Source organism: Homo sapiens, chromosome 7 (assembly GCF_000001405.40).
Source record: "Homo sapiens chromosome 7, GRCh38.p14 Primary Assembly".
In the NCBI taxonomy this organism is placed as follows: Eukaryota; Metazoa; Chordata; class Mammalia; order Primates; family Hominidae; genus Homo; species Homo sapiens.
In genome coordinates this window covers 155,377,566-155,403,071 of record NC_000007.14, presented here as the reverse complement: position 1 = coordinate 155,403,071, position 25,506 = coordinate 155,377,566, and the positions used below count along the sequence as shown (strand labels likewise).

Sequence of the window (25,506 nt, the reverse complement as noted above, 5' to 3'; positions counted from 1 at the left end):
CACTGCTCTTGTATTTCTTATGATGAAGATCAATGGGATGTCCTAGTGGTCTTCTGGGCATCCACATGATTGCATCATGGGTTGCAAGCCCCCAACAGAGAAAGTCTGTGCACCTGGACCCGCTCTTCCTTCTATTATGCACATAACCTGCCATGTTACAGGTTAGGGGAAGCACATAAGAAGGTGTGTGCTGTGGGCTGAATCCCCTGAATTCATATGCTGGATCCTGATCCCTGGGACCTCAGAATGTGACTGTATGTGAAGCTGGGGTCTTCACAGAGGTCATGAAGGTTAAATGAGGTCACATGGGAGGCCCTAGTGTAATATAGCTGGTATGCTTATATGAAGGGGGGATTAGGACACAGACACACACAGAGGGATGCCCTGTGAGGAGACTGCTGACTGCAAGCCAAGGCAGGGGCGGGGGGAGGGGAGGTCGAGAGAAACCAGTCCCTGCTGACACCTTGGCCTTGGACTTCCAGCCTCCAGAGTTGTGAGGAAGGAAAGCTCTTGTTTAAGCCACCCATGGTATTAATATTTGCTAGGGCAGCCCCCAAAAACTCAGACAGTGCATGTGTGGTGAACCAGAGATGGCTCTCAATTCTTCACCGCCTGTTACAGATTGGTGCCTGTCTGACCTGTGCCATGGGGTTCTGCAGGGTCCCCGCTGTGGTGGACGGAGTACACATTCCTGCCCTGGGACTTGGCCTTGGCCAGGTGACTGCTGCCAATGGAACATGAACAGAAGTGACAATACCCCATCTAAGCAGAGACACTAAGTATGATCCACGGCCTGGTTTGCTCTCTGGCATCTCTGCCATCCACTCAGGAGAGTGTTCCCAGACCCCACTGATCCCAGAATCAGAAACATGTGGAACAGACTTGACCAACAGCCTGACGCAGGGCTGCTCATTGCCCAGAGACCCCAAAGCAAGAAAAACACACGTTTGCTGCAGGAAGCCATTTCCATGTTGGGGCCATTTGTTATGCAGCCTTGTCACAGCAGTGGCTGACTGATACCTTAGCAACCTCATTTCCTGTCCCACACCTGCCTCATTCCTTCTGCTTTCTACACAGGTGGCCACCGTTATTAGTTTAAAAAGGCGTTTGCTTGGTGAGGAAGAAGAGGGAGAATCAAGCAAAGGCATTTGGACTTTATTCCACAGGCAACGTAGATCAGTGGAAGGTTGATGAAAGGGAAGTTCCATGATGAAATCACCGGGGAATTATTCTATCAGTGCTCCCCAGGCTGCTGGAGAAATGAGGGAGGAAAAACAGACACAGAAAAACCTGGTCATGGTTTTTATTATTTCTCTTAAATTCAGCTCCACCCCATCTCTTCAAAGAATTTTCCTCTTTGGTTTTAATAATGTGCTTAAGCCACAAGTTGAACAGTCTTCCATCCTCCAAGCTGTCTTCTGGCTGAGGGAGGCTGCTCTGGGCTTGGTGGGCGGTGGAGGAACGGGTAGCGGTTGGGGACTGTGTCGCAGCTGGCCCAGCCACTCTCCCTTTCTTGGGGTGTACTAATCTGACTCCCAGAATGGTGCCGACTCTTTCCAAGGCTTCACATTCCTCCTCCTCTAGCTCGGGGGAAAGTGAGTCCTGATTTAGACTTCTGTAGTCAGGCAAAGAATTTCTGAATGCAGGGGGCTACTCCAGGCTGGATGAAAAACCCACTTTCATGCCAGCTGGGTTTCTGACAGAAATGCCACAAGCTGGCACCTGGCAGTGTTACTGGGCTGGCAAAGTCAGAAAACTTTGAATTTGTGCAGCTCACACGGTGCAGCCTTCAGCATTTTACAGACGTGCCCATGTGACTTGCATCTTTGAAAGGGGATGGTGTGGGAAGTCATGTTAGATCACCTCTGATATGATTAGGACCTAATGGTGTTATTTGAAGTTCCAGCTCAAGTCCAGTCAGGTCACAGTCACTGCCACAGATCAGGAAATCGTGCTGACCTGGATTCCTCGGTTCCCCCTTGTCTGTTTAATTGACGGCCACTTTCTCATCAAGGCCATCAGCAGCCAGCACACAGGCTTTTTAAAAATTAGGCCTCAAGAAACAACAATAACAAAGTAAAATCTGTCCTGATTTTTAGGCTTAACCTTTGAAAATGTTCTCTCTCTAAAGAGAAGAGGTGCCTTCAGTCCAGTGAAGAGCGCTGGGCTGCTACCCGAAGCATCTGCACGGGAAGGAAACGAGATGAGTCGGTGACTCGTTGCCACAGGGGCACGCATGGTACACGCAGCACAGCACCAGGAGCTGGAGCAGGCTGCACAGGGCGAAAGTCAACAGGCACACGGTGGGCTTGAGGGGCTTCTGCAGAGGGAGTGGGGGACAGGAGTGACGCCTGGGTGCCAGTCCTGAAGGCACCTCTTCTCTTACATGCTTGGACTGTGTGACCGTGACAAATCCCTCTCCCACTGTGAGGTTCATCCAGAAAATGGGGTGACCTCACAGCCTCCCCGGAGTTCTGTGAGCGTCAAGGGGACACCATGTGGAAACCCCTAGCACCGTGGCTGTTTGTGGGTGCAGAATCGTGTGCACGAAGCGAACAGAGGCTTCCACGTGGCCTTCATCTCTGCTTCTTTCGCAAAGCAAACCTTGGCCCCGAGATGACAGCTGCTTTGTGTTTTACACCCTGGGGCTGAGTCTGCCAACTGTCCCATGGTGTCCAGACTCCCCTAACTCCTTTCAGCAATGGAACCTGGCCAACGAGTGTCAGCGGGGCTGCAGCTGGGGTGGCAGGGGGGTGTGCAGAGACGCCCTCTCCTCTTGACTCGTCCTCATGGAGGAGGCTGCTTGCCATCCGCTCTCATTTCCCACTCCCTCCACCTGCAGCACGGATGTGGGGCTGTTGCCCCTCAGTCACCCAGGTGAGGGTGATGCCCCAGGATGGCAGGGCAATGGGACGGGGGAGCCCGGCCCCGGGCACCGTGGGAATGCTGTGGACTCTAGGCTGCTGGTGGGAGGGAGTTTTCTAGGGCTGCCTCCAGGGTGCTGGCCACATCCCAGCATCGCACAGGGTTGGTCCTTTTCCCCTCATCCTCATAACACCCAAATGAGGCAAGCACTATTACCTCTGTAAGCGAGGAGACGGAGGCGCACAGAGGTTCACCAGCTATCTAGAAGCACCAGAGCTGGGGCTGGAGCCAGGCTGACTGCCCCGGAGTGTGAGCTTGTGGCCGTGATCAAGCCTGGCTGGCATCTATCACAGTCAGGCACTGTGTGCGGCTCTAGGCACACAAAGGCCAGGTCTGCAGGGGGATGCCAGTCAGAGGGGAAGGGAGACAGGTTGCCCTGAGGACAGCAACGTGGTCAGTGCGTCAGTGCTAGGGCAGGCGGGCGGTGATCTCAGCGGGAGGGACAGGCATCTCCGAGGCAGGGGACGGGTCTGCCAGTGGTCCCAGGTGCTGTGCTTCCTCCCGCACTCCTGCCTTGAGGTTTGTGGCCCCACCTGTCACCTGTCCTTCCTCAGCCTTTTCTGGTCGCCAGAACGCCTCCTTGCGTAGTAGTAGTTACAACTACTGAACCCTAATAGTTACTACTACTGAACACTAATAGTTACAGGAAAATTGTCAGGTGTTAAGTAGAAGTGTAAAATTGAGACTGTTTCCCTGGCATAAAAAGAATTGAACACCAGAGTTGTGGAGAGAAAGACATCTTGGTCATGGAGAAAAAGTTCTGTTTATCTCTTCTCGGAAAACTGCGGAACTCTCGGATGCCACCTTAGAGAAGCCACACAGCTCAAGAGATGTGCTGGGTCTCCACGCAGCAGGGGAAGCAGGAGCAGAGGCAGGGCTGGAGAACAGGAGGAGGAACGTGGCAAGGGTGTGGCTGGCAGCTGGCGAGGCTGCAGTCCATGACGTGGGGGGATTCGGTGGCAGGGGTAGCCTGCAGGGGGCGGCAGTGAGCGGAGCGCACCCTGGGTGGTGAGTGGAGGCCTCAGCTCCAGCCTGGCTCCGGCTTGCCACGTGAACATGGAGGGCTGGCCCCTCGCCTCCCACCCTTTTCCCTCCTGGTGTCTTTGGACGGTTCAGGGCTTCCTAACTTCTCGAAGACTCAGTGTCTTCTTCTGTGGGGGCAGCCTTCACAAAGTGCCACAGACCCGGGGGCTGAAAACAGTGGAAATGTATCCTCCCACAGCTCTGCAGGCTGGACGGCAGAGACCCAGGGGTCAGCAGGCCTGGCTGCTTCTGGAGATTTCGAGGGAGGGTCTGTCCCAGGCCCTCTCTTAGCTGCTGGTGCCACTGGTAACTCTTGGCGTCACGTGGCTTATGGATAAATTGCTCCCGTCTCCGCCTCCGTCTCCACTTGGTCTCCCCCAGGTGTCTCTGTGTCTCCTCTGGTCTTAGAAGTGAGAGGTGACAGAGTGCTGGCAGTCCTCACAGCCCTCGCTCGCTCTCGGCGCCTCCTCTGCCTGGGCTCCCACTTTGGCGGCACTTGAGGAGCCCTTCAGCTCGCCGCTGCACTGTGGGAGCCCCTTCCTGGGCTGGCCAAGGCCGGAGCCGGCCCCCTCAGCTTGCCGGGAGGTGTGGAGGGAGAGGCGCGGGCGGGAACCAGGGCTGCGCGTGGTGCTTGCGGGCCAGCGTGACTTCCGGGTGGGCGTGGGCTCGGCGGACTCCGCACTTGGAGTGGCTGGCCAGCCCCACCGGCCCCAGGCAGTGAGGGGCTTAGCACCTGGGCCAGCAGCTGCTGTGCTCAATTTCTCGCCGAGCCTTAGCGGCCTTCCCGCAGGGCAGGGCTTGGGACCTGCAGCCTGCCATGCCTGAACCTCTCCCCGCACCCCCCGTCCCCTGCCTCCCCGCCCCCCCCGCCCCCCGCCCCCCGCCTCCGTGGGCTCCTGTGCAGCCCGAGCCTCCCCAACGAACACTGCCCCCTGCTCCATGGCGCCCAGTCCCATCGACCACCCAAGGGCTGAGGAGTGCAGGCGCACAGCGCGGGACTGGTAGGCAGCTCCACCTGCAGCCCCAGTGCGAGATCCACTGGGTGAAGCCAGCTGGGCTCCTGAGTCTGGTGGAAACTCGGAGAACCTTTGTGTCTATCTCAGGGATTGTAAACGCACCAATCAGCGCCCTGTCAAAACAGACCACTCGGCTCTACCAATCAGCAGTATGTGGGTGGGGCCAGATAAGAGAATAAAGGCAGGCTGCCCGAGCCAGCAGTTGCCACCCGCTCCAGTCCCCTTCCAGGCTGTGGAAACTTTGTTCTTTCTCTCTTTGCAATAAATCTTGCTGCTGCTCACTCTTTGGGTCCACACTGCCTTTATGAGCTGTAACACTCACCACGAAGGTCTGCAGCTTCACTCCTGAAGCCAGCGAGACCACGAGCCCACCGGGAGGAACGAACAACTCCAGACGCTCTGCCTTAAGAGCTGTAACACTCACGCGAAGGTCTGCAGCTTCACTCCTGAGCCAGCGAGACCACAAACCCACCAGAAGGAACAAACTCCGGACACGCCGCCTTTAAGAACTGTAACACTCACCGCGAGGGTCCGCGGCTTCATTCTTGAAGTCAGTGAGACCAATAACCCACCAATTCGGACACAGAAAGACACAGTCATGTTGGAGTAGCCCCTGCCCACTCCAGCCTGACCTCAGCCTAACTCATTCCATCAGCAAGGACGCTGCTTCTGAATAAGGCCACGCCCTGAGGTTCTGGGGTGAGGACTTCCACATAGCATTTAGGGACACACAATTCAGCTTGTAACACTCGGTTTCCTCAACTTGGAGGGAAACACTGTTACCCACCCAATAGGGTTTTTGAAAGGATTAAATCATTAATGCATAGAAAGTTCTTTGCACTAGAGCTTGGCCCATCTTAAGAGCCACATCAACATGACCTATTATTACTGATATCTTGGGAAGAGTTTTGTAACATTCTGTGCCATGTTAAAGGTGAGGTTTGGGCTTGGGAGCTGGATGGTCTGAGGCCATGGAGACCCAGGTTTTCTGCTTACATCTGGACTAAGGCCTTGTGAGACCTCAAGTGTTTAAAAAGCAAACCCTCTAAGTCTGTGTTCGCTTCCCTTTGCCACGGGGGCACAATTGCTGCTCAAGAACCCATTCCCTGATAACACAGCAGGAGACCAAGCAGGCTGTGCGGGGCCACGGTCACTAACCGGCTCTGGGGCACCCCACGAGCTGCCCCCACCAAGGCCAACTTCCAGCCTCAGAAGAGAAGAGTCTGAACCAGGCGCTGCAGAGATGTGCACGGCCGGCTCGTGTGAGCCAGGAGCCAGCTCCAGCAGAATGTGACTCTGAGAAGAGCCTCTCACCACCTGCCCTATCCACGGGGAGTGTTTCCGCTGTATCCCTGTGTCCTATTTCATAATCGGTGGCCGTCACCGCTGTATTGCTACTCACGTTGCAGCCTTCAGTCAGCTCCCCCTGTGGGTGCCAATGTGTTTAAGTACAGATTGAGGTTGTCTGGTTTAAATAGGCCGCCAGGGTGATTCCAATTCATCGCCCTTCGCTTCACTCTTCCCTCCTCAGGTGAGATCCAGTCATGCATTTATTGAGCTACTTTTTGTGTGTGTGTGAGACAGGGTCTTGCTCTGCTGCGCTCTGCTGCTCAGGTTGGAGTCCAGCGGCGCCATCATGGTTCACTGCAGCCTCAACCTCCTGGGCTCAAGCGATCCTCTTGTCTCAGCCTCCCGAGTAGCTGGGACTGCAGGTGTGTGCCACCACACCCAGCTAATTTTTTTTTTTTTTTGTGGTAGACATGAGGTTTCAATATGTTGTCCAGTCTGATCTTGAACTCTTGCACTCAAGCGATCTGCCCACCTTGGCCTCCCAAGGTACTGGGATTACAGGTGTGAGCCACGGCACCCTCTCTGTTGAGCTACTATTATGTCTCAAGCACTGTGGAGGGTATGCGGAAACAGAGAGTAACAACCAAACCAAAACAAGGTTCATGCCTGCAGGAGTGTCTTCACCAGCTAGAAAACCCAGGTTCCCACTGGATGACAACCCCAACCCGTATCTGGGAGACAATCATGAAGTGTTGAGATGCTAGTTATGAGCAATTAAGGAAGGAAGAGCTCAGAAAGGGCAGGGAACAGAGTGATTAAATGGCCTGGGGTGCTGGGGTAGGATCCAGGGAGCTGGGGCAGAGTGGAAAGGAATAAAGATTCCTGAACAGCTGTTCTCCATCTCTTCACTACTAGAATCCCTTTTTAAAAATTTCTCCCAAGTGTGTTTTCATTTTGAAATGAAATTGTTCCACTAACAAAGAGGACATGAATTAAGAAGAAATTAGTTCTCCCCAGTTCTCACATTCAACAACGAGTTAAGCATCTGGGCAACCCAGAATAACCAATGTCACCACACTAAGTGGATGTCATTTTAGTCAGACGCAAGGACACCTGCTGTTTGTCGGCCCCGCAGTGTGAGTGCTGGGACCTCGGGGGTCTGGGAAACTGTGGGAGGAGCCAGGAGGGCACCAGGCAGTGCCAGTCAGCAGCCGGCCCCAACAGAGGCAAAACGTAGGGCCCTGAGCACCAAGGGGACAGAGGAAGGCAGTCCCAAAGGAAGCGGATGGGGGCACAGTTCCCTGCATTGGCTGTTCTGTGGGGTCCTGGGAAGTAGCTGTGGAACAGTCAAAACAGCGCTCAGTTTGGAGCAGAGGCCCTAGTTCTGGTTTCAGCCCTTGCTAGCTACAAGATCACAGGCAAATTACTGCATTTGTCCAAGCCTCGGCTGGCACATCTGTGAAGCAGGCAGAATGCCAATCGAGCCGCCAATCCTACAGAGCAGGGCGAAGTCTTTTGAAAACAATTAAACCTATAATCGTGTGTTGCTTGGTGAAGGGCATCATTCGGCCTCCTGAGCTGCAGCAGCCCGAGGCAGTCACTGTCCCTACCCTCCTTCCTTAGCGCTGCCTTGGTGATGCCTCTCAGATCTGCCTGCCGCCTCCCTGTGCCTCCTCTGGCTCTGCACCATCCTCCTCTGGACTGTCTGAGTTGCTTCTGACGATTTGCCGGCCACCTCCATCCATCCAGATATTCTTGGCAATATTGTTCTCCTGAAACAAAAAGATGGCAGTGTCATTCTCTGATCACAACCCGCCCCCCAACCCCCAGCCCCGGTTCCCCTTCCCTACAGGATAGAAGCCTCACATGCTGCCCTGAGCCTCATCTCGCATGCACCTGCACACCTCGGACCCCCAGAAGCTCCAGGAACATGGCTGGTCTTGCCATGGCCCTGTGCTTTGAAGTTTGCCAAAATGTCCTTTCCTGCCTTACTGGTACCCCCAGGCCCAAACTCCCTGTTGACCACCCCCTGAGAGGCAGCTCCTCCATGGAGCTGTCCCATTCCTCAGCACCACACTCGGGTCACACCTGGAGCCAGCATTGGCCAGACAACCTCGTGCCTCCTTGCCTTCACGGCTATGGGACCTGTAAGCTTCTCTATGGCAAAACCATGAGTGCCATGTCTCCCTGCTTCCACCACCATGGAGCAGGTGCTCCACAAACTGCTCTGTGAGTGGGAGCCCAGCACTGAAGCTCCGTACAAAAGTGATGCCATGGGGTCATGGTGGCGGCATGGTGGCACCGAGTGTGTTAGTGTGTCGCCATTTTGTTAAGGCTTCAGACCCAGGATCTCATTTAATACAACATCACTTCATGTTTAACCATATTTTACAGATAAAAGAAATGGAAGCTCAGGAAAATTAAATCCGTTGCTAACATCTCACTGCTGTGCAGCGGCAGGATTCCAGCTTGGCTTTGCTGACTCCAAAGCCCATGCACATTCATCTCCAGCAGGCCAACTCCTCCTGAACTTGACTCTCTTAGAAAGTGCTGGTTCCAGGCCGGGTGCAATGGCTCATGTCTGTAATCCCAGCACTTTGGGAGGCCGAGGCAGGAGGGTCATTTGAGCCCAGGAGTTTGAGACCAGCCTGGGCAACATAGTGAGACTCTATCACTATAAAAACTTTTTTTAAAAATAACCAGGCATGATGATGCATGCCCATAGTCCTAGCTGAGACAGGAGGATTGCTTGAGCCCAGGATGTTGAGGCTACAGTGAGCTATCATTGCACCACTGTACTCAAGCCTGGGTGACAGAGTAAGACCCAGTCTCTAAAAAAAATGAAATTTGGCCTGGCGCAGTGGCTCACGCCTGTAATCCCAGCACTTTGGGAGGCCGAGGTGGGCAGATCACTGGGTCAGGAGATTAAGACCATCCTGGTTAACATGGTGAAACCCCGTCTCTACTAAAAATACAAAAAAATAGCGGGGCATGGTGGCACGCACCTATAGTCCCAGCTACTTGGGAAGCTGAGGCAGGAGAATTGCTTGAACCTAGGAGGCAGAGGTTGTAGTGAGCCGAGATCGCGCCACTGCACTCTAGCCTGGGTGAAAGAGTGAGTCTCCGTCTCAAAAAACAAATTAATTAATTAATTAATTAATTAAATATAAATTGCTGGTTCCCTTTATAGGGTAAGTTCCCTGTTTCTAAGAAAGTTTAAGAATGAAGTATTAATAAATAAGAACTCTCAACCACAGCCCAACACTCCCACCCAACATTATTACTGACTCTTTTCCCTTCACATGGCAGGGATGGGGTAGAGGGGTGACACATTGGAAGGGTTAGGTGGCAGGTCTGTTTCCTCCTCTTGTCCTGTATTTGATGATGAGCCCAGGTGACTCACTGCAGACCTCATGTGGTGAGTGACTACTAAGTTCTGATATGCCTGGCTGGTCCATGGTGGCTGAAAGTCACAGAACTCTGGATGAAGCCGAGGGTGGCAGCAGCTGTCCCCAGGGCTAACCCACATGATTTCACATTTGTGAGTGCAAATCCCTTCCGAGAGGGTTTTTATCTGTCCTGCTGGTCCCTGGGGCAGGAGGAACCCTCAGAGGTTGCCCAGGCCCTCTGCTCAGCAGTCACACAAGGCCACTCACTACCTTGTGTGATTATGAGCCGGCTCCCTGGCATGCCATTGTTAGAACATCCTTAAGCAGGGATTATTTTTTCGTGAAGCTGCAATTAAATATTGTAAATTCAGAAACGTGGCTGGAGGAACAATGGGCCTGGAGAACAGGAAGAGATGCAGGTTGGGGTAAGTCACCATTTCACCGTCCTCTGCAAAGTGGATGAGATCGCAGCCTCTTTGTCCGCGCCTGTGGATGAGTGCTCTGCAGCTGCTGGCTTTCTGATGTGGGACTGCTGAGCATTCACACACTGATTCACTGGAGCCAAAATACTCACAGCAGAAAATAGTGTTTGCTCAGGGTAACGCCTGCCCCTGGAACCTGCCCTAGTCCTCCTCTTCCAGACAATGCCATTCCCAGCCATGTGAAGAAAAAACCCCACGCTATTGTTCCCAGAAGACACCTTCAGAAAGAAACCTGCCTAGTGAGCACCGCCAAGCAAGGATGGCGGGAGGCACCTGCGTACCCAGTCACCCGAGTCCCCAGCATGCAGAGGCCCTGCAGGCAGGTGGGAAGCCGGGCCTGCTTCTCAGCACCTCTCTCCTGGTCCCGGGTTCTCCTCCTCCCTAGGATTACTTAGGAAGAAAGTGTTTCACACAAAGACCAGACACAGGCTCAGTGTTGGTGCTTTGGGTAGAAAGGTTGAAGTTGGCCCGGTGGGTAAGCCTGCGCCGTTATGGAACGCCGGGCAAAGTCCATCATGGGGGGAAATGAGAAATGGCCGGCCACCTTTCAATGGCTCCTGGGACATCTATCCGCAGGCAGAGCCACACCGCAAAGAATCCCCAGGGATTCCTTCCAGGTATCATCTAAAGATCACCCATCTCAGTGCAAAACCGTGCTTTTCCCAAAGCAAGTCTGGAAAAGGTCTTTCAAACCCGGTCTGTGCAAAATGGCATTTCCATCGTTGTCACCAAAGACAGCAGCAAAACGCCTGGCATCTGATAGAAACATCAGTTCTGACTGCGCTGGTGAGGTGGCAGGAGAAGGCCCTCCCTCGCTCTGTGGGTCGCCCCTGAGCTTCCGAGGAAAGCCATTTGGTTGATATCTGAGGAAAATTTGATCTCGTGCTGCTAGGGCTATTGGTACAAAATGGAGATTCCAGAGAAAGCATCACTAATTTAAAATTGAATTTTAAATTGTCTTTTCCATCTTTCAAAGCCCAGCCCAATTCCTAAAGCAACACATAACTGGTTTTTCATACTTTCCATGAAAAACAAATGCACATATTTTATACTGTTTCTTCTGAGCAATGGTAAATGGCTCTTTTCTTTTGACTTTTTGGATTTTTACCCTTTTTTCCAATGCTTAGGATGGAAATTCCAGAAACCTTACAGAATTACACAGTACTCTAATTTCCCATTTGGGGAGCCCTTTAGAAAGTGCGCTGACTTTTGAAAGCTGCAATCTGAGAGTATTCTGTCTATAGGGTCAAACCCTCATGGACATGGGCCCCACAGGGGGAAGCGAGGCTGAGGTCTGTTCCCTGCAGGTGGGCTGGACACGGGGCCCTGGGCAGCAAGGAGGCTCACGGCTCTCCTCACGTATCTCCAACCTGGGACCGCTCTGGCCATCCTCCCCACCCCTGTGCAGAGCTCTGGGTACCCCCAGCTCTCCCTCACGGTGTCCTGATCTTCACTCACCTGGACACACTGCACAGATTTCAGAAACAGGACTCTGCAGAGAAGGCATCTCCTGCCCCGAGGGAGTGGGTTTGCAGGGGTACCACATCAGCCCTTAATGGGGGAGGGTTTTAGGTGGGTCCTCTTGGCCTCCTAGGTCTCAACATGTTCATAACTGGGCTGGGCCCACCTAAAATAAATGGACTGCTTTAACTCCCTCAATTTATCACGAGGTCTAATACGAACATAGAAAAGGAAAGAAGCATTTGGGTATTGAATGACTGCACATTTTCTGAACTCATCGCCATTTCGAGCTTAGGCTCCTTAAACGTTTGACTCCAGGCCGTTCACATGTTGGCTTCAGGGACTGCACTGGCTACGCTTTCTCTGCAATATTATCCACAGCTGTAGAACCTGTGGTTGTGAAGGAGGATGCATTATTAATCCTGCCTCCCAGCCTGTGCATATTGAAACCAGCTCTCCGACATCTTAGACTCCAGCAGGCACGGACCCTTTCAAGACGGTAGGATTTTGAGCTCAGTTACGTGAACTGTGAACTCTCAGCCACGCCAGCATTAGGTTAGTATACAACCCTTGTACACAGGGTGTCACGCTCATATTTTAATGAAATTGGGAGATAAATGCATTATGCTTTTCTTCTTTTTTTTTTTTTTTTGTTGTTGTTGTTTTGGGACAGGATCTTGTTCTGTTACCCAAGCTGGAGTGCAGTGGTGTGATCAGGGCTCGCTGCACCCTTGACCTGCCAGGCTCAGGTGATCCCCCCACCTCAGCCTCCCTTGTAGTTGTGACTACAGGCACACGCCACCACACCACACCACAAATTTTTGTATTTTTTGGAGAGACGGGGTTTTGCTATGTTGTCTGTGCTGGTCTCAAACTTCTAGACTCAAGAGATCCACCTGCCTCAGCCTCCCAAAGTGCCTTTTTCTGGTATTTACCAAGAAATACTATACTGTGAATTTTTTTACTTAATGATTTTTTCCCACTCAAACATACGCAATTTATGAAGACACACTGTTCTCAAGAAATAATGTTGGCCAGGCACAGTGGTTCACACCTATAATCCCAGCACTTTGGGAGGCTGAGGTGGGTGGATCATGTGAGGTCAGGAGTTGGAGACCAGACTGACCAACATGGCAAAACCCCATCTCTATTAAAAATACAAAAATTAGCCGGGCATGCTGGTGCGCTCCTGTAATCCCAGCTACTAGGGAGGCTGAGACGGAAGAATCGCTTGAACCTGGGAGGCGGAGGTTGCAATGAGCCCAGATCACACCACTGCACTCCAGCCCGGGCAACAAGAGCGAGACTCCATCTAAAAAATAAAAAAGAAAGAAAAAACGAAGAAATAATGTTGAATTTGTTTGGATGTGAATGTCTTTGGTCACCAACATTGATGAGAACCCTCCTTGCCCTTGGCACATAATGCAGTGAGTTGAGCTGTGGTTTGAGTGAGAAGCATGTTGGTGCCTCTGTCCACGCATCTCTGAATCTCTGGCTGTGGCTCCCATGAAGCCGGGAAGTGCTGATGGCCATGGGCACTCAACAAGCGGATTCCTAAGCTTTAGGCCAAGGTGCTTCTGCTCAGATTTCCCGTCCTATTTCATGGTATAAACATGACCGGAGGACTTCACAGAGATAAATGAGAGAGTTTGGCTCTCCCTTGCTTAGTTCAAAGAGCACATAATTTCAGCAGCTGATGTAAGCAGTGACAGCTTCATCTGTGCCAGCCCGTCACTGCCACCTCCCACTTAATATATGACCATTCATACAGCCCAGTCCTCTAAAGAAGGCAGAAATTGAGCATTTCACCTGAATCTTTCCAGAGTTGGTGGTGCATACTGTGTGGTTCCAGGGGACAGATGGGCCCTGACTCCGAATCCCTTTCAGGGGCATCTTTCCTGATCTTCTCCCACTAGGCAGCTGCTCTCCAAGCATCCTCCCAGCTTGGACGCTTGTACCTGGTCCATGTTCCTGGGAAGCAAGCCCCGCCCCCCCAACCCCAGCGCGTCCACCTGGGGCTGCCTTGCTGGGATGTGGCACCCATGCCTGTCGTGCTCTGGGAGCCCCTCTACGTATGGAGGATCTGGCTTGTGTCTAGGAGGAGAAGAGGCTCCATGGCCAGTGCCTCTTAGCCAGGGCAGCACCAACCTGGCCTGAAGGTTGACTTCAGCATAGAAGTTGAGGATTGGCCAGCTTTGGCATCAGGAAACCTGGATTTAAATTCTGGCTCCATGCCCTGCCACCTGGTGACCCCCCGACAAATGATCTGTCCTCTCCACTGTAAAATGGGGAACTACGCTTCTTCACAGCACACAAGAGACACACTTTCCAAGGTTTGGGTCAGGGCTGCCTGCCCCTCCCTACCCGCTCCCATCTGACCCCAGAGGACGTGGCATGGCCTCAGGTTCCAGGGGCTCGCCTCACCGCCACCCATGACCTTGAGCAGCTCATTTCCTTCCTGAGGCTTTGTTCTTCCCCTTCTCTGGGAAGGGAGGAAGCTACAGCAACCCTGGCCCACCTGCCCCACCTGCCCCGCTGCTGGGCAGCAATGAACACAGCACAGTCTGCACACAGGAAGAGCTCAGGAACCCGGTTACTAGAGGACCCCCGAAGGCTCACTGAGGCCGGCTGCAGACTGCCTTTGGCTTCCGGGAGCCACTGAGGGCAGCAGCCAATCGTCTGGTGGGGGGCAACGCTGCAGCTCCTGGGGCTGACAGAGATCACAGGAGGGATGCTGTCACTGAGCTGGGACGACCACAGGGGCCCGGGGAGTGCACACACCTTCTACAGTCTTCACTGTGAAAGCCACCAGTCCTGCAAGGGAAAGCCCAGCAGGCCCAGACTAGAAGGATGGGGCACAGGTGCAGAGGAGGCCTTCTCTGGTCAACCCCTGCCCTCCTCCGAGCCCTCGGAAAGGCTCAGCCTCTGCGGAGCTTCCCTCCCTTCCAGGAACTCCTACCACCTGGCACACTCTCCGTGACACTGAGCCCTTGTCCTCCCCTTGGTGCTTCTTGTCAGTGGCTTTGTCTTCCTAACTGGACTGAAAAATTTGCAGGTATGACTCATTAGTACAAACCTGTGGATTGATGAAATCAGTAAGAGTGGGAGAGTAAGCAGCTATCAGGTAACTCATTGGACCACTGAGGACTTCAGTTTCTTCTTCTGGAAACTGATGGGATTGGAGGAGTGTCTGCTTTTTGTTCCTAGGGCCATAGAGTGGGCATACCCTGGAGATGCCTATGCTTTCTTTTTTTTATCTTAATTCTCCCCTTGACTAAGGTTGGCCTATTCTTTTTTTTTTTTAATCTTAATCTATTTTATAGTTTAGATAAACTCCACCTAATGCTTTTTCATCCAGTGGCCACACGGCCCCAGGAACCTGAGACCAAAAGGCTTTTCTATGACCAAAATTGCAGTCCCAATAAGAATGCATTGTTTTTAGACACAAGGGGACTGAAGGAAAGACAGAACATGAATGACAATCAAAGGGACCACCCTTAGCCACAACAGCACCCCCAGAATTCCCACCTGATGAAGGCACCTGTTCGCCCCATCTTCAGATATAAAATGTCAAACATTTTGAGCTAATGAGCTATTATAAAAGGGCCCTTAAAATAAGCTACTTGAAAACACCTTTTGACAGGCTGAAGCCCACGTGGTCTAATTCCCGATCCAGTTCTTTCCCACACTGATGAAAGGCAGTGTGTTCTTGTCTAAACAACTAAAACCTTTTGCCCCAGGTTGTTTACTTTGTAGCAAGCCTGCCCCCAAGGACCACTCACTTTGAGGACAACAGATGGCTATTGTATACAGCTTCAAACTTTTCAAAGTACTTTCCATTTTCCCCAATTGGTTCATCTCAACAACCCCATACGGGAGGTTTTAGTAGCCCTATTCTGCAGATGAGAGGACAAGGCCTGCCTGAGAGATGCCGTGATGAGACCTGGCTCTGCCCAAGCCCCCACTGCCTAGATCTTGGCAGCCAGGACTCCAGCTGCACACACCCTCTCCCTGGGCTGGGCTCCTCCTGGCACAGCCACCCAAGTGCTACCCTCAGCCCCTCTGCGGGAGGCACGGAATCTGCGTGGATCTACCCCCAGCGTGCAGACTGCCCCCGCCCCACATGACCTGCAGTGTTTATTCCCCTGGGTGGTGATGGGCGGAGGTGGCCACCGAGCAGTCAAGCTAAGTGGATTCCCCAGGAGCAAGGCCTTGGCTTTGGCCCACGATTGCCCCTCACCCCCACAGCACAGCCCAAGCTCCGGCAGACACTGGCCTGGTGCGTCCCAGGCCCTCCACACATCTGTTTCCTCATCTGCAAAATGGGGGTGATCTCAGGCCACCCTCACAGATGTGTCCTGAGGACCGAAGGAGTTCGTTGCACGTAGGAAGTGTGCACACACACCCGGCCCCTGTGCCTGCCGCCTCAGCGTTTGAATTATGGCATCCGTCATTTCTGCAGGCATGCATTCATGCAGCATCTGTGTCTGCACAGCTGCGGGCCTGCATCCCTATGATTAGATCCACGCTCAAGTTCATGTGAACTGCAAGCACAAAGGTTCTAGCAGGGAGGGAAGATCACTCATCCAAGTCCGCCCAAGACTGGGGAAAGCCCAGCAAACTCTTTGGGAGGCGAAGGGGTCCTATCTGAGATCGTGGCCTTGGGAAATTACCCACAGCCTGAGGCATCACTCTGCGGTTTGGGATTGAGGGATTGAGATGGCTTTCCGAAGTCATCTCCCAGGGCTGCAGAGGGAGGGGCTCGCAGCCAGTTGTTCTAGCTGCTTTCCGTCTGCAGCACCACCCCTCTGATGGCAGCATCTGGATCCCCGCACATGACAGCTGGAATCCTAAATGTTCTGGGTTAGTGGTAACTTGTCTGGATTTTAACCTACATCTCTTCCTTCCTCATTGCAACAAGACTTCTCTTCTTGTCCCTGTCTATGGAGTTGAGGGTGGGAAGGATGCTTTGATTCAATGCTACCCTATGTCATGTCTTTTTGGAATACAACTTCCAGGCAAAGGGGAGAGCTTCCTCATCCCCATGGACAGAGAGGTGACCAGGGTTGCATTCACACCCGTTTGTTAAGCACCTGCTGCCTGCAGGCCTGTGAAACACCCTGTTGTCCTGGAGATACAGAGACAAGAGGCCTAGCCTCTAGGATTTGACATTGGGGACAGGCCCAGAAACACAACATGGCAGCACACTGTGGCTAGGGTGGAGGCAGACCTCGGTGCTGGCTGCTGCAGGGACACGGAGGAGGGACGCCCTTCTCAGCCTGGAGCTGGGAGGAGGCTGGGGAGCAGTGCCAGGAAAGGTGTCCCTGGGGATGAGAGCTTCTGTTTCTATTCCAGATTCCCAGAGTCACAGCGCAGAGGGGAGCCTTTGTGCTCATGGCTTTTTGACACTTTCAAAAAACAAACAAGAAAAAAACGGCATGGTCTCTGGAAGAAGTGGAGGAGTGACTCATGGGTGTCTCCCTTCTGCCTGTCTCTAGGCACCTGGGGCCACCAGAGTGCTTCTGCCCTGGGCTTTGAGGGAAGCTGATCACCTGGGTCTTCCTGGCAGGAACTAGCAAGTAGGGGCAGTTTTCAGGGGGTGGAGACCCCAAAGATAACATTGGTCTCAACCTTGATGCTGTTTAGAACCACCCAAAGAGCCAAAGCTCCCAGGTGGTGAGAGACAGGACTAGCTGGATTTCCCAGGCTGACTAAGAATCCCTAAGCCTAGCTGGGAAGGTGACCGCATCCACCGCTAAACACGGGGCTTGCAACTTAGCTCACAACCGACCAATCAGGTAGTAAAGAGAGCTCACCAAAATGCTAATTAGGCAAAAGCAGGAGGTAAAGAAATAGCCAATCATCTATTGCCTGAGAGCACAGCGGGAGGGACAGTGATCCGGATATAAACCCAGGCATTCGAGCCGGCAATGGCTACCCTCTTTGGGTCCCCTCCGTTTGTATGGGAGCTCTGTTTTCACTCTATTAAATCTTGCAACTGCCCACTCTTCTGGTCCGTGTTTGTTATGGCTGGAGCTGAGCTTTCACTCGCCGTCCACCACTGCTGTTTGCCGCCGTCGCAGACCCGCCGCCGACTTCCATCCCTCCGGATCCAGCAGGGTGTCCACTGCGCTTCTGATCCAGCGAGGCGCCCATTGCCGCTCCCGATCGGGCTAAAGGCTCACCATTGTTCCTGCACGGCTAAGTGCCCGGGTTCATCCTAATCGAGCTGAACACTAGTCGCTGGGTTCCGCGGTTCTCTTCTGTGACCCACGGCTTCTAATAGAGCTATGACACTCACCACATGGCCCAAGGGTTCATTCCTTGGAATCCGTGAAGCCAAGAACCCCAGGTCAGAGAGCAAGAGGCTTGCTGCCATCTTGGAAGCCACCCGCCACCATCTTGGGAGCTCTGGGAGCAAGGACCCCCGCCCCCAACAGTGACACTCAGCCTTGCTCTTAGAACTCACGTACCCTGTATCTTGTTTGATCTTCAGCCCATTGGGTACTTAGGATACCGAATGGCCTTCCCATCTCACAGAGGAGAAAGCCGATTCCTGGAGGCCAAGTGAATTCCCAAACACCGTAGACAGAGCAGGAGCCAGGCGTGGGGTCTGAGGTTTGCAGGTCCAGCACCTGCCCCTTCTCCACTCCGAGTCAGGGGACACAACCTGAAGTCCTGGCTGTGTGCTGCCTGGCATGTAGACCCAGTGGAGATGCTGCCAAAATGAGCAATTGAGGGTTCCCCGGAGCCCCTCTCTTCTGAGCCCCAAATCTCCTCCAGCTATTGTCCCCATGCGCCCGTCGTTGGTGCTGCTGTGCTGCAGCCCTGGCTGGACCTGGATTCTGGTTCAGGGCGGGTGCAGGGACAGGGTGCTCCAGGGTGTGAGGGCCCAGGAGGGCGTCAGGGGTACACCAAGCAGTGGGGAGAGCAGCAATAGAGCATCCCCACTTTTCTCCAAGTGCTCTCCTTCAGGAGCCGGGATGGGAAGGGCAGACGCGCACCATGTGAGAGCCACATGGCGAAGGCAGAGGTGGCTTTGGGATGCTGCACCTCTGAGCCCAGGGAGCAAGCGTTCCTGGAGACAGCAGAGGCCAACAGGGCGGGAAGGGCCCTGCCCACGCCTGGACTTTGGACTCCGGTCCTGTGGGGGAACACATTCCTGTTGTGTAGGCCCCCCGGTTTGTGGCACTTCGCTAAGGCAATGCCGGGAAGCTGATGCAGAGGGGTAAAGTGACAATCAGGCAGTGATTCCCCAACAGGTGAGCAGGACTGGGGAGGCTGGGGAGGCTGGGGAGATGACCCAGTCCACCTCCAGCACCCACCGCTGCTGAGAAGCCAGGCAGGAGGCAGTGGAGGGGAGGCGTTGAGAAGCGTGGAGACAAGCAAGTCTGGACCCTGCTCCGCAGACCAGACACCCCCCAGAGACACCCCCCAGAGAAGGCGGGCGTGGGAAAAGAGGCTAGGCTGGAACTACACCTGGGTGCCCCTCCTGGGAAGCAGGGGGTTTGTGAACACCTCCAAGGGGCCTCTCTGAAGCTGTGCTGTGGCTCTCGGCCTCCCCAGCCCCTGCTGGTGTGAAGAACACAGAAAGGGGTTGGAATAATCTAGCAGCTGCTTGCTGTCCCAGGCTGGCCAGCCCCCACAAAGTGTTCCCATCTGGCCCCAGCCTGCACAGGCAGCACTAGCAGCCCCCCGTGAGTAATTTGCAGGCTCGGATGGATGGGCAGAGCCCAACCAACTTCAGCCAGTGGAGGGAAGGCCTTGGCCTTTGCAGGTAGGGGAGACAGCTCAAGGCCAAAGATTCCCATCAAATCCTGAAACGCCTCTGCCCAGCCTGGCCACCCGAGACCGCACCCAGCCAGGAGCACTCCCCAGAGAGCCCACACACGCTTCCAGGTCTTCCTCCCCAGCCTGCCAACTCAGTCTCAGCATCACTGGTTTCATTTCACTTAAAAAAAATTTTGTTTCAATTTAGCTTCATTTGGTCATTTTAAAGAATAAGTTGTCTGTGCCCCCAGGTAGGGTTATTTTCTATGTTGCCCATCCTCTGCATAAGGCGTCACTGTCCCTGGGAATATACAGGGATTCTATGCCTGGCCTCGGAAACTGAAATGAAATAAATTTGCACCATGAGAGAGTAGGTCCAACTCTGCACAAATTAAAACAAAACACAACAAAAAATGTTTCAGCCAGAAGTAACATTCGACATGGTCTACCCCCATCAGCTCCTTTTACAGGTGAGGAAGTGGAGGCCTAAAAAGCTGGGAAGACTTGCTCAAGGTTATGCTCAAGGTTACATCCACCTCTTCCTGCAGGGTAGAGGCTGGAGGGTCTCAGAAAGGCTCCCTCCCTCCCTTCCTGCTTCACAGCTGGGGACTGGAGGCCCAGATCCAGACCCAGAAGCTGGAAAGAAATCCCAGGTTGTGAGGCCCGTCCTCCCACTCAGCCCCCAACTCTAGGCCTGGGACCCTCCACAGCCCTCCAGGCACCAGGGGACCAATCGGGATGGAACCAGCCCCTCAAGACCCAGGGCCACTACCTAGCAAGTCCCTCCTTATCTGGGTAGCCTATACCCCCCACCTTGCCTTCCCCAGACCCTGTGCTAGGGACCCCTGCCTCAGGAAGTGAGCCCTACTGAACAGATGGGGGGCGGCATTTGTGGCTCGCGGCCTCTTTCTCTGTCCCTCCCTCCCGGCCTGCCCCCTGCCCTTCGAAGAAATTGAATTCCAAGGAGGAAGAGGGGAGAAAGAACACCCAAACCCCTGCCTTCTCACTGCATAAATACCTAAATCCCGGGTCCTCCAGAGCCTGCCTGGAGCCTGCCAGCCGCTGCCTGCGGTCCTGCCCACAGCCTGAGGTCCCGGCCTGCACCTCCTCATAAGCCCACACTGGCGGTGCCATGCCATGGGCTCCCCTGGGCTCCCTCTGCCGCCCAGCCTGCCCCGCACACTCCACTCGCGCCGCCCGCCCTTTGCTGCAGGACGGGGCCAGCCAGGGCAACTCTCCGCAGCCCAGAGCTCTCGTCCCTTGAATCCTGCCGGTGGAGCAGGGGGCAAGGGGGAGCCAGGCACGCCCAGCCCCGGACCCGCAAGCAGGGACCCTCGGGGCGGCGGTCCGCACAGGGCAGGGGCTGCTGGAGACCCGCGGCCCCCACCCCCGACACTCACCGCGCGGTGCCCAGCGCGCGCCAGGGCTCCCATCAAGTCCTCTCGGAGCCCGCAGCAGGCTCCCACTTCTGTTTTTCTCTGACAGCCATGCAGGCAGCAGGCCTTCAGCCAGGCTCCCCGCCGCGCTTCCACGCACGCACACTCACAGTCACGCTCGTGCACACTCGCACGCACACGCACGCTCACGCTCATGCACACTCACACTCACATTCGTGTACATGTACACATTCACACCCGCATGCACACTCAAACTCACGCTCACGCACACTCACGCTCGTGCACGCGCACGCATACACACGCCCGCGCTCACACGGACACGAGAACTCGCCCCGCTGCGCGCCTGGCTCCCGGGACGCCTGGAGCTGGGGAGCGAGGGCCCCGGACGCCTGTAGCCGCCAGGGGAGGCCGGAGGGGCAGACGGGTGCAGAGAGCAGCCGGAAAGGCAGTGCCCGGCCACCAAGAGGCCGATTACTTGAGGGGCCTGAGGTGTGGAGCCCAGGCCGAAGACCCTGGGTGCGAGAAGGCAGCGGCCAGGAGGCCGCCCTAGAGCCTCGGGAGCGGGCGGGGGAAGGGGGATGTCCACGGAGACCAGAGTTGGTGGCTCTGACCGAGGAGGGCCTCGCGCTCCCCACGCCACTTGGCAGGGCTGGGGACACGCGCCCTCTCCCCCCTCTCCCTGGGGCCGCGCAGGGCTGTACCCGGGCTCTGCCCAGATCCCCTCGGAGCGGAAGATGCAAGTTGGCTTTTGTCTGACCCGGTCAGACAGAGCCGTTCTGTGGGATAAAGGCTTAACGCTCCGTGAACACGCAGAAAAAGCTCCGCGCTGGCCCTCTGACAATCCCATTGTCTCGGGCCTGAGCCCGGCGGTTTGGTCTGAAAGCGCCAAGTTCATGACATTTCAAAGAGCAATGATACTGGGAGAGGGGGGTGGGCAGGGGAGGGAGGGGTGTGCAGGAGAAATACATTCCTAAAATACGAAGTAACAGTATCTGACTCCCTCGCCAGCGCGTTCCTCAGCTCAGCCCCCTGCCCCACCCTCCACGAACCCATTCAGACCGAATCCCCTTCTCCAGCCCCGTGTGGACCCAGAGCCAGGCTGCAAAAGTCAGGATCACCAGGGACTGCGGTTTGGAAGGTGAAGGTGTGAAAAGATGCCCAAGTAGCTGCGTGGAAGCTTCCTGGAATGTCAGCAGAGTGACAGCAGCCGTTTAGCACAAGCTCCCATTGTCTGCACTGCCCCACAAGATAAGAATTTGCCAAAAAGGACTTTAGGTGCCCACATGAGTTTATTTTAAAGAGCTAGAGTGTTACTGTTTTCTTTCATTTGTATTACTGTTCGTACTATATCCTTTAAAAAAAAAACTATTTTCTGAGCCAGGAAGCAAAGGAGCTTCCATTTTTAGTGTTTAATTTGTTTAATGTGCCTCGGCAAAAGCAAATAATTCCTGAGAGAAAGCAGAATCCTCAGGAAATTGAATGTGTTTTGTCTCCAGCGAAGTTTCCCTTGAGTGATTTCGTTTGCTTTCTGTCTCGCCAAGCAGGCTCTGCACTGGGACCTCCAGCAGGCTGGGGCCAGGCTGGGCAGTCTGCAGCCCCTCTCCCCACCTTAGGTGGTGAGGCTTCTCTGATCCTCAGCCCACTGGCCAGGTAAACTGTGCTCCCGAAGAACAAAACGTAGCCTTGTAGAGTCATTCTAATGCGAGGAGAAAATAGGATTAGGCCAGAGTGTCAGCCAGGTAAGTCGGATTAACAGCAAGGTCCAATACATTTTGGCATTCTTGTGCTATTTTTAATTGTACAAAGGTATATGCTTCCCTTCCCTGGCTTTATTTAAAGAGGCTGTTTGTTTGTGCCCAAGAGGTAAATGATGAGCGATAAGGCTCTATGAGGAATTGGAAATGTATAACCTTGCAAAATGACATTTCGCCCTGGAAAGTGTGACACGCACACACGGGTAGATAAAGGGAGAGTGCGGAGCGTCCCGGGCTTTGTTAACGCTTCTTGCCCCCTGGCGTTGCTTTGATGGAAGGACACCCCACGCCTGGCTGCAGAGGTGTCTGCCAACGGCAGGAGCTCCTTCCCCACAGGCAGCCAGGCAATGACTACAAATCGATTCATTTTAAAAAAATATCCAAAGTCAGGTGTTAAAAAACGTATGAACCAGGATGGTAGGTCATTAAACCGTGGGAGAAAAGAGTTGGCAAAAACCTGCTTATATTATTTTTTAAAATATATATCTGTATTGCATTTTGCCACATGCAAATTTAGTCTAGGTTTGTTAATCAGGATCATGTGAGTGTGTCATAAATTAACATGATTTCTTCGGGGCAAGTCAAGAGAGAATGTATAATTGTTTAAGTTTGCAAATCATTTAGCAATTAACTTGGGGGGCAGAGGGCTGCAGTTCCCGGGTGGCCAAGGACATTCATGAGCCATGTGGAAGTTACTGAGTCGAATTGTAACTGTCCATGGCATTTCTGACCGTCCTTTCCAGGCCAAATGACAGACAGAAAGCCAGAGGGGACAGCACTGAATCCAAATGCTTTTGCATTCTGGGTGAGTGTGAACTGAGGGCACAGAAGCTTGGGGCCAAAGGAGAAGAAAGTTGCATTTGATCAAAGTTCCCCCTTTTGGGCAGAGGGCTGAGAGTGAGGATGACCAAGGGGTTTTGGCTTCCCTTTCAGACTCTGCATATGTGAGGTGGCAGGGCAGGGTTTAGGAATGTCATTTTCCTTAGATAGAGAAGGGTGTTCCCAAAAGAATTGTCCAGGGGTCAGGATTCTGGGAAAGCCATAACAGATGTATGTCTGTGAGGGCTTCCATCAGCTCGTGGAATGTTTTCTTCCTGTTGCAGAAACAGAAAGAGCAGTTTGTTGAATCTGAGAGTCGGTTTTGCCGACCTTGTTTAACTGCTGTCTGTCTGAGAGCTTCTTGCAGAGACGCTGGAGAATTCCTGGGGCGGGGGTTATTTCAAACTCAAGAATCTATCATTCCATTTTGATTAATCTGGTAAAGCAGGGTTCTGTTTCTCTTTTAAATTTTTTCTTCTTTTCCATATTTAACATAGATATGCATGTACATGAGAAGTAATGGACATTCAAAAAGCCAGATCCTGCTGATTCCACATTTCAATGGCTTGGTTTGCCAACTCATGCATGGGTGCCTCTAAACACTAATCAGTAATCCAGTTCATTGCTAAGGCTGCAGAGCTCCAGGATCTCTTATTTTCTCACAGGTGGGAAAAGACCCCCCGACCTTCTTGGTCTAAGCTCTCTTCTGGTTACTTGGTACCCACATGTTTACAAGGTATTTATTTTCATTAGACCTCCGATCGTTCTAAAGGCCTGCAGAGCCCAACCCTTCCTGCCTCCTCCTCTCCCCATCTTTAAGCTATAAAACCTTGGCGGAGTTTTCTGGGCTGTTCTCCAGGTTTTTGTTTTCCCCACTGTCCAGCATGGTACCTGAGATTGAGTGCAGGTGCAGCCGGCAGGACACAGTGGCTCCAGCGCCAGCTTCCGCTCCATCTCTACCCCATCCTTCTCCTCTGACTTATTTTGCTGTAACTCTGCACTTAATCTGATGAGGAAGGGTCCCTAGAATGTAGAATGTTGAACAAAATTCTCCCTAAAACAGGAGGAAGAGCTGGCCGTGGGGAGCGGGTTCTATAGTAGCTGCAAGTTGACCAAGTATGTAGAAAACATCAAAATGTGTCTCCATTCCCTTTCCTTGGGTCTGGGAGGAATGTCCCTGAGCCGTTCTTCCCAGCCCTTTTGTAACTAGCAGATGCATTTGTTAGAGAGGTCCTCTTGTTATCCCTGTTCTCAGCATTGTTCTTTCAGCTAGAAATTCACAGTAAAGGTGAGCCATCCTCCGAGGCCGAGGGGCATAGCTGAAACTCAGCAACAGGAACAGAAGTGAACCTCTCTTCACCATGTGTATTCGTGGGGTGGGGGTGGTGAAGGGGAAAGGAGATAGTGTTTGATTTTGTGAATCCAGGGTGAGGCTACAGGGACCCCAGAAGCCTCCTCTTCAGGCCCTTCAGTCAGCAAAGGCGGCCTCCCATCCCCAAGGCGCAAGCAGCGCAGATACCATCACAGCCGTAGCCCAAGCGCGCGGGCCCTCGGCCACTGTGTGCCTTCCCCGGACGTTGGTCTATGCGGAGCAGCCCTCAAGCCTGACTGATCCGGGTCTGCATCCCGCGGGTCTGGACGCGAGCTGGGCATCCGACCGCACCGCGGCGGGACGGGGAGCGCGGCCGCCTGGAGCTGCTTCTTCTGGGCGCTGGGCGCACGCTGCCGAGCGCGGGGCTGGGGCTTCCGGGGGCCAAGCCGGCTCAAGCCCGCACAGGCTCGCGGCGGGGCTGCCTGGCTGCCGCGTCTTGGATCCGGCCTGGGCCTGAGCTCCTGGACCTGGGGTTTTGTTTTGTTTCGTTTTTGTGGAGGAGAGGGGGTTTGGAGACATGAATTGCACTGGCATGGTGTAGGGGAAATATTTGGAGATAGTTGGCAAGAATTCATCCCCAGGTCCAAGGAGTCCAACTAAGCCCGGTTTTAGGGAAGCCCAGCCAGATGTATCTTGAGACAGAAAAGGACATCGTGCTAGGTCTGTGGGGCGGACGCTGAAGAGTTGCCCCGCTAGGAATTTCCTTCCTTTGCAACCGTGAAGGGCTCGCTGCTGCAGTCCAGTGAGCCGTGGGACTCCAATGCCTGCTTCCCACCGCCAGCCTGTTCAGGGGAAATCAGATCAAATC

The 25,506-nt window shown here is 53.8% G+C and overlaps 1 long non-coding RNA gene across 1 annotated transcript, besides 3 other annotated features; it reads right to left on the bottom strand.

The window, feature by feature from the left end:
* Positions 1–1,289: 1,289 nt before the first annotated feature.
* On the bottom strand, positions 1,290–20,996 carry LINC03010 (long intergenic non-protein coding RNA 3010). The gene is made up of 3 exons (NR_147174.1): positions 20,757–20,996; positions 7,865–8,026; positions 1,290–2,183 (listed from the first exon to the last, which is right to left on the bottom strand). It is a non-coding gene; the product is annotated as a long intergenic non-protein coding RNA 3010 (long non-coding RNA).
* Positions 20,127–20,938: an enhancer, noted in NCBI's record as "H3K27ac-H3K4me1 hESC enhancer chr7:155174829-155175640 (GRCh37/hg19 assembly coordinates)". NCBI's record gives its function as "activates a minimal SCP1, AML or CMV promoter by ChIP-STARR-seq in naive H9 embryonic stem cells {active_cell/tissue: H9 hESC(naive)}" and the evidence as "EXISTENCE:reporter gene assay evidence [ECO:0000049][PMID:30033119]".
* Positions 20,939–21,750: an enhancer, noted in NCBI's record as "H3K27ac-H3K4me1 hESC enhancer chr7:155174017-155174828 (GRCh37/hg19 assembly coordinates)". NCBI's record gives its function as "activates a minimal SCP1, AML or CMV promoter by ChIP-STARR-seq in naive H9 embryonic stem cells {active_cell/tissue: H9 hESC(naive)}" and the evidence as "EXISTENCE:reporter gene assay evidence [ECO:0000049][PMID:30033119]".
* Positions 24,486–24,986: an enhancer, noted in NCBI's record as "H3K4me1 hESC enhancer chr7:155170781-155171281 (GRCh37/hg19 assembly coordinates)". NCBI's record gives its function as "activates a minimal SCP1, AML or CMV promoter by ChIP-STARR-seq in naive H9 embryonic stem cells {active_cell/tissue: H9 hESC(naive)}" and the evidence as "EXISTENCE:reporter gene assay evidence [ECO:0000049][PMID:30033119]".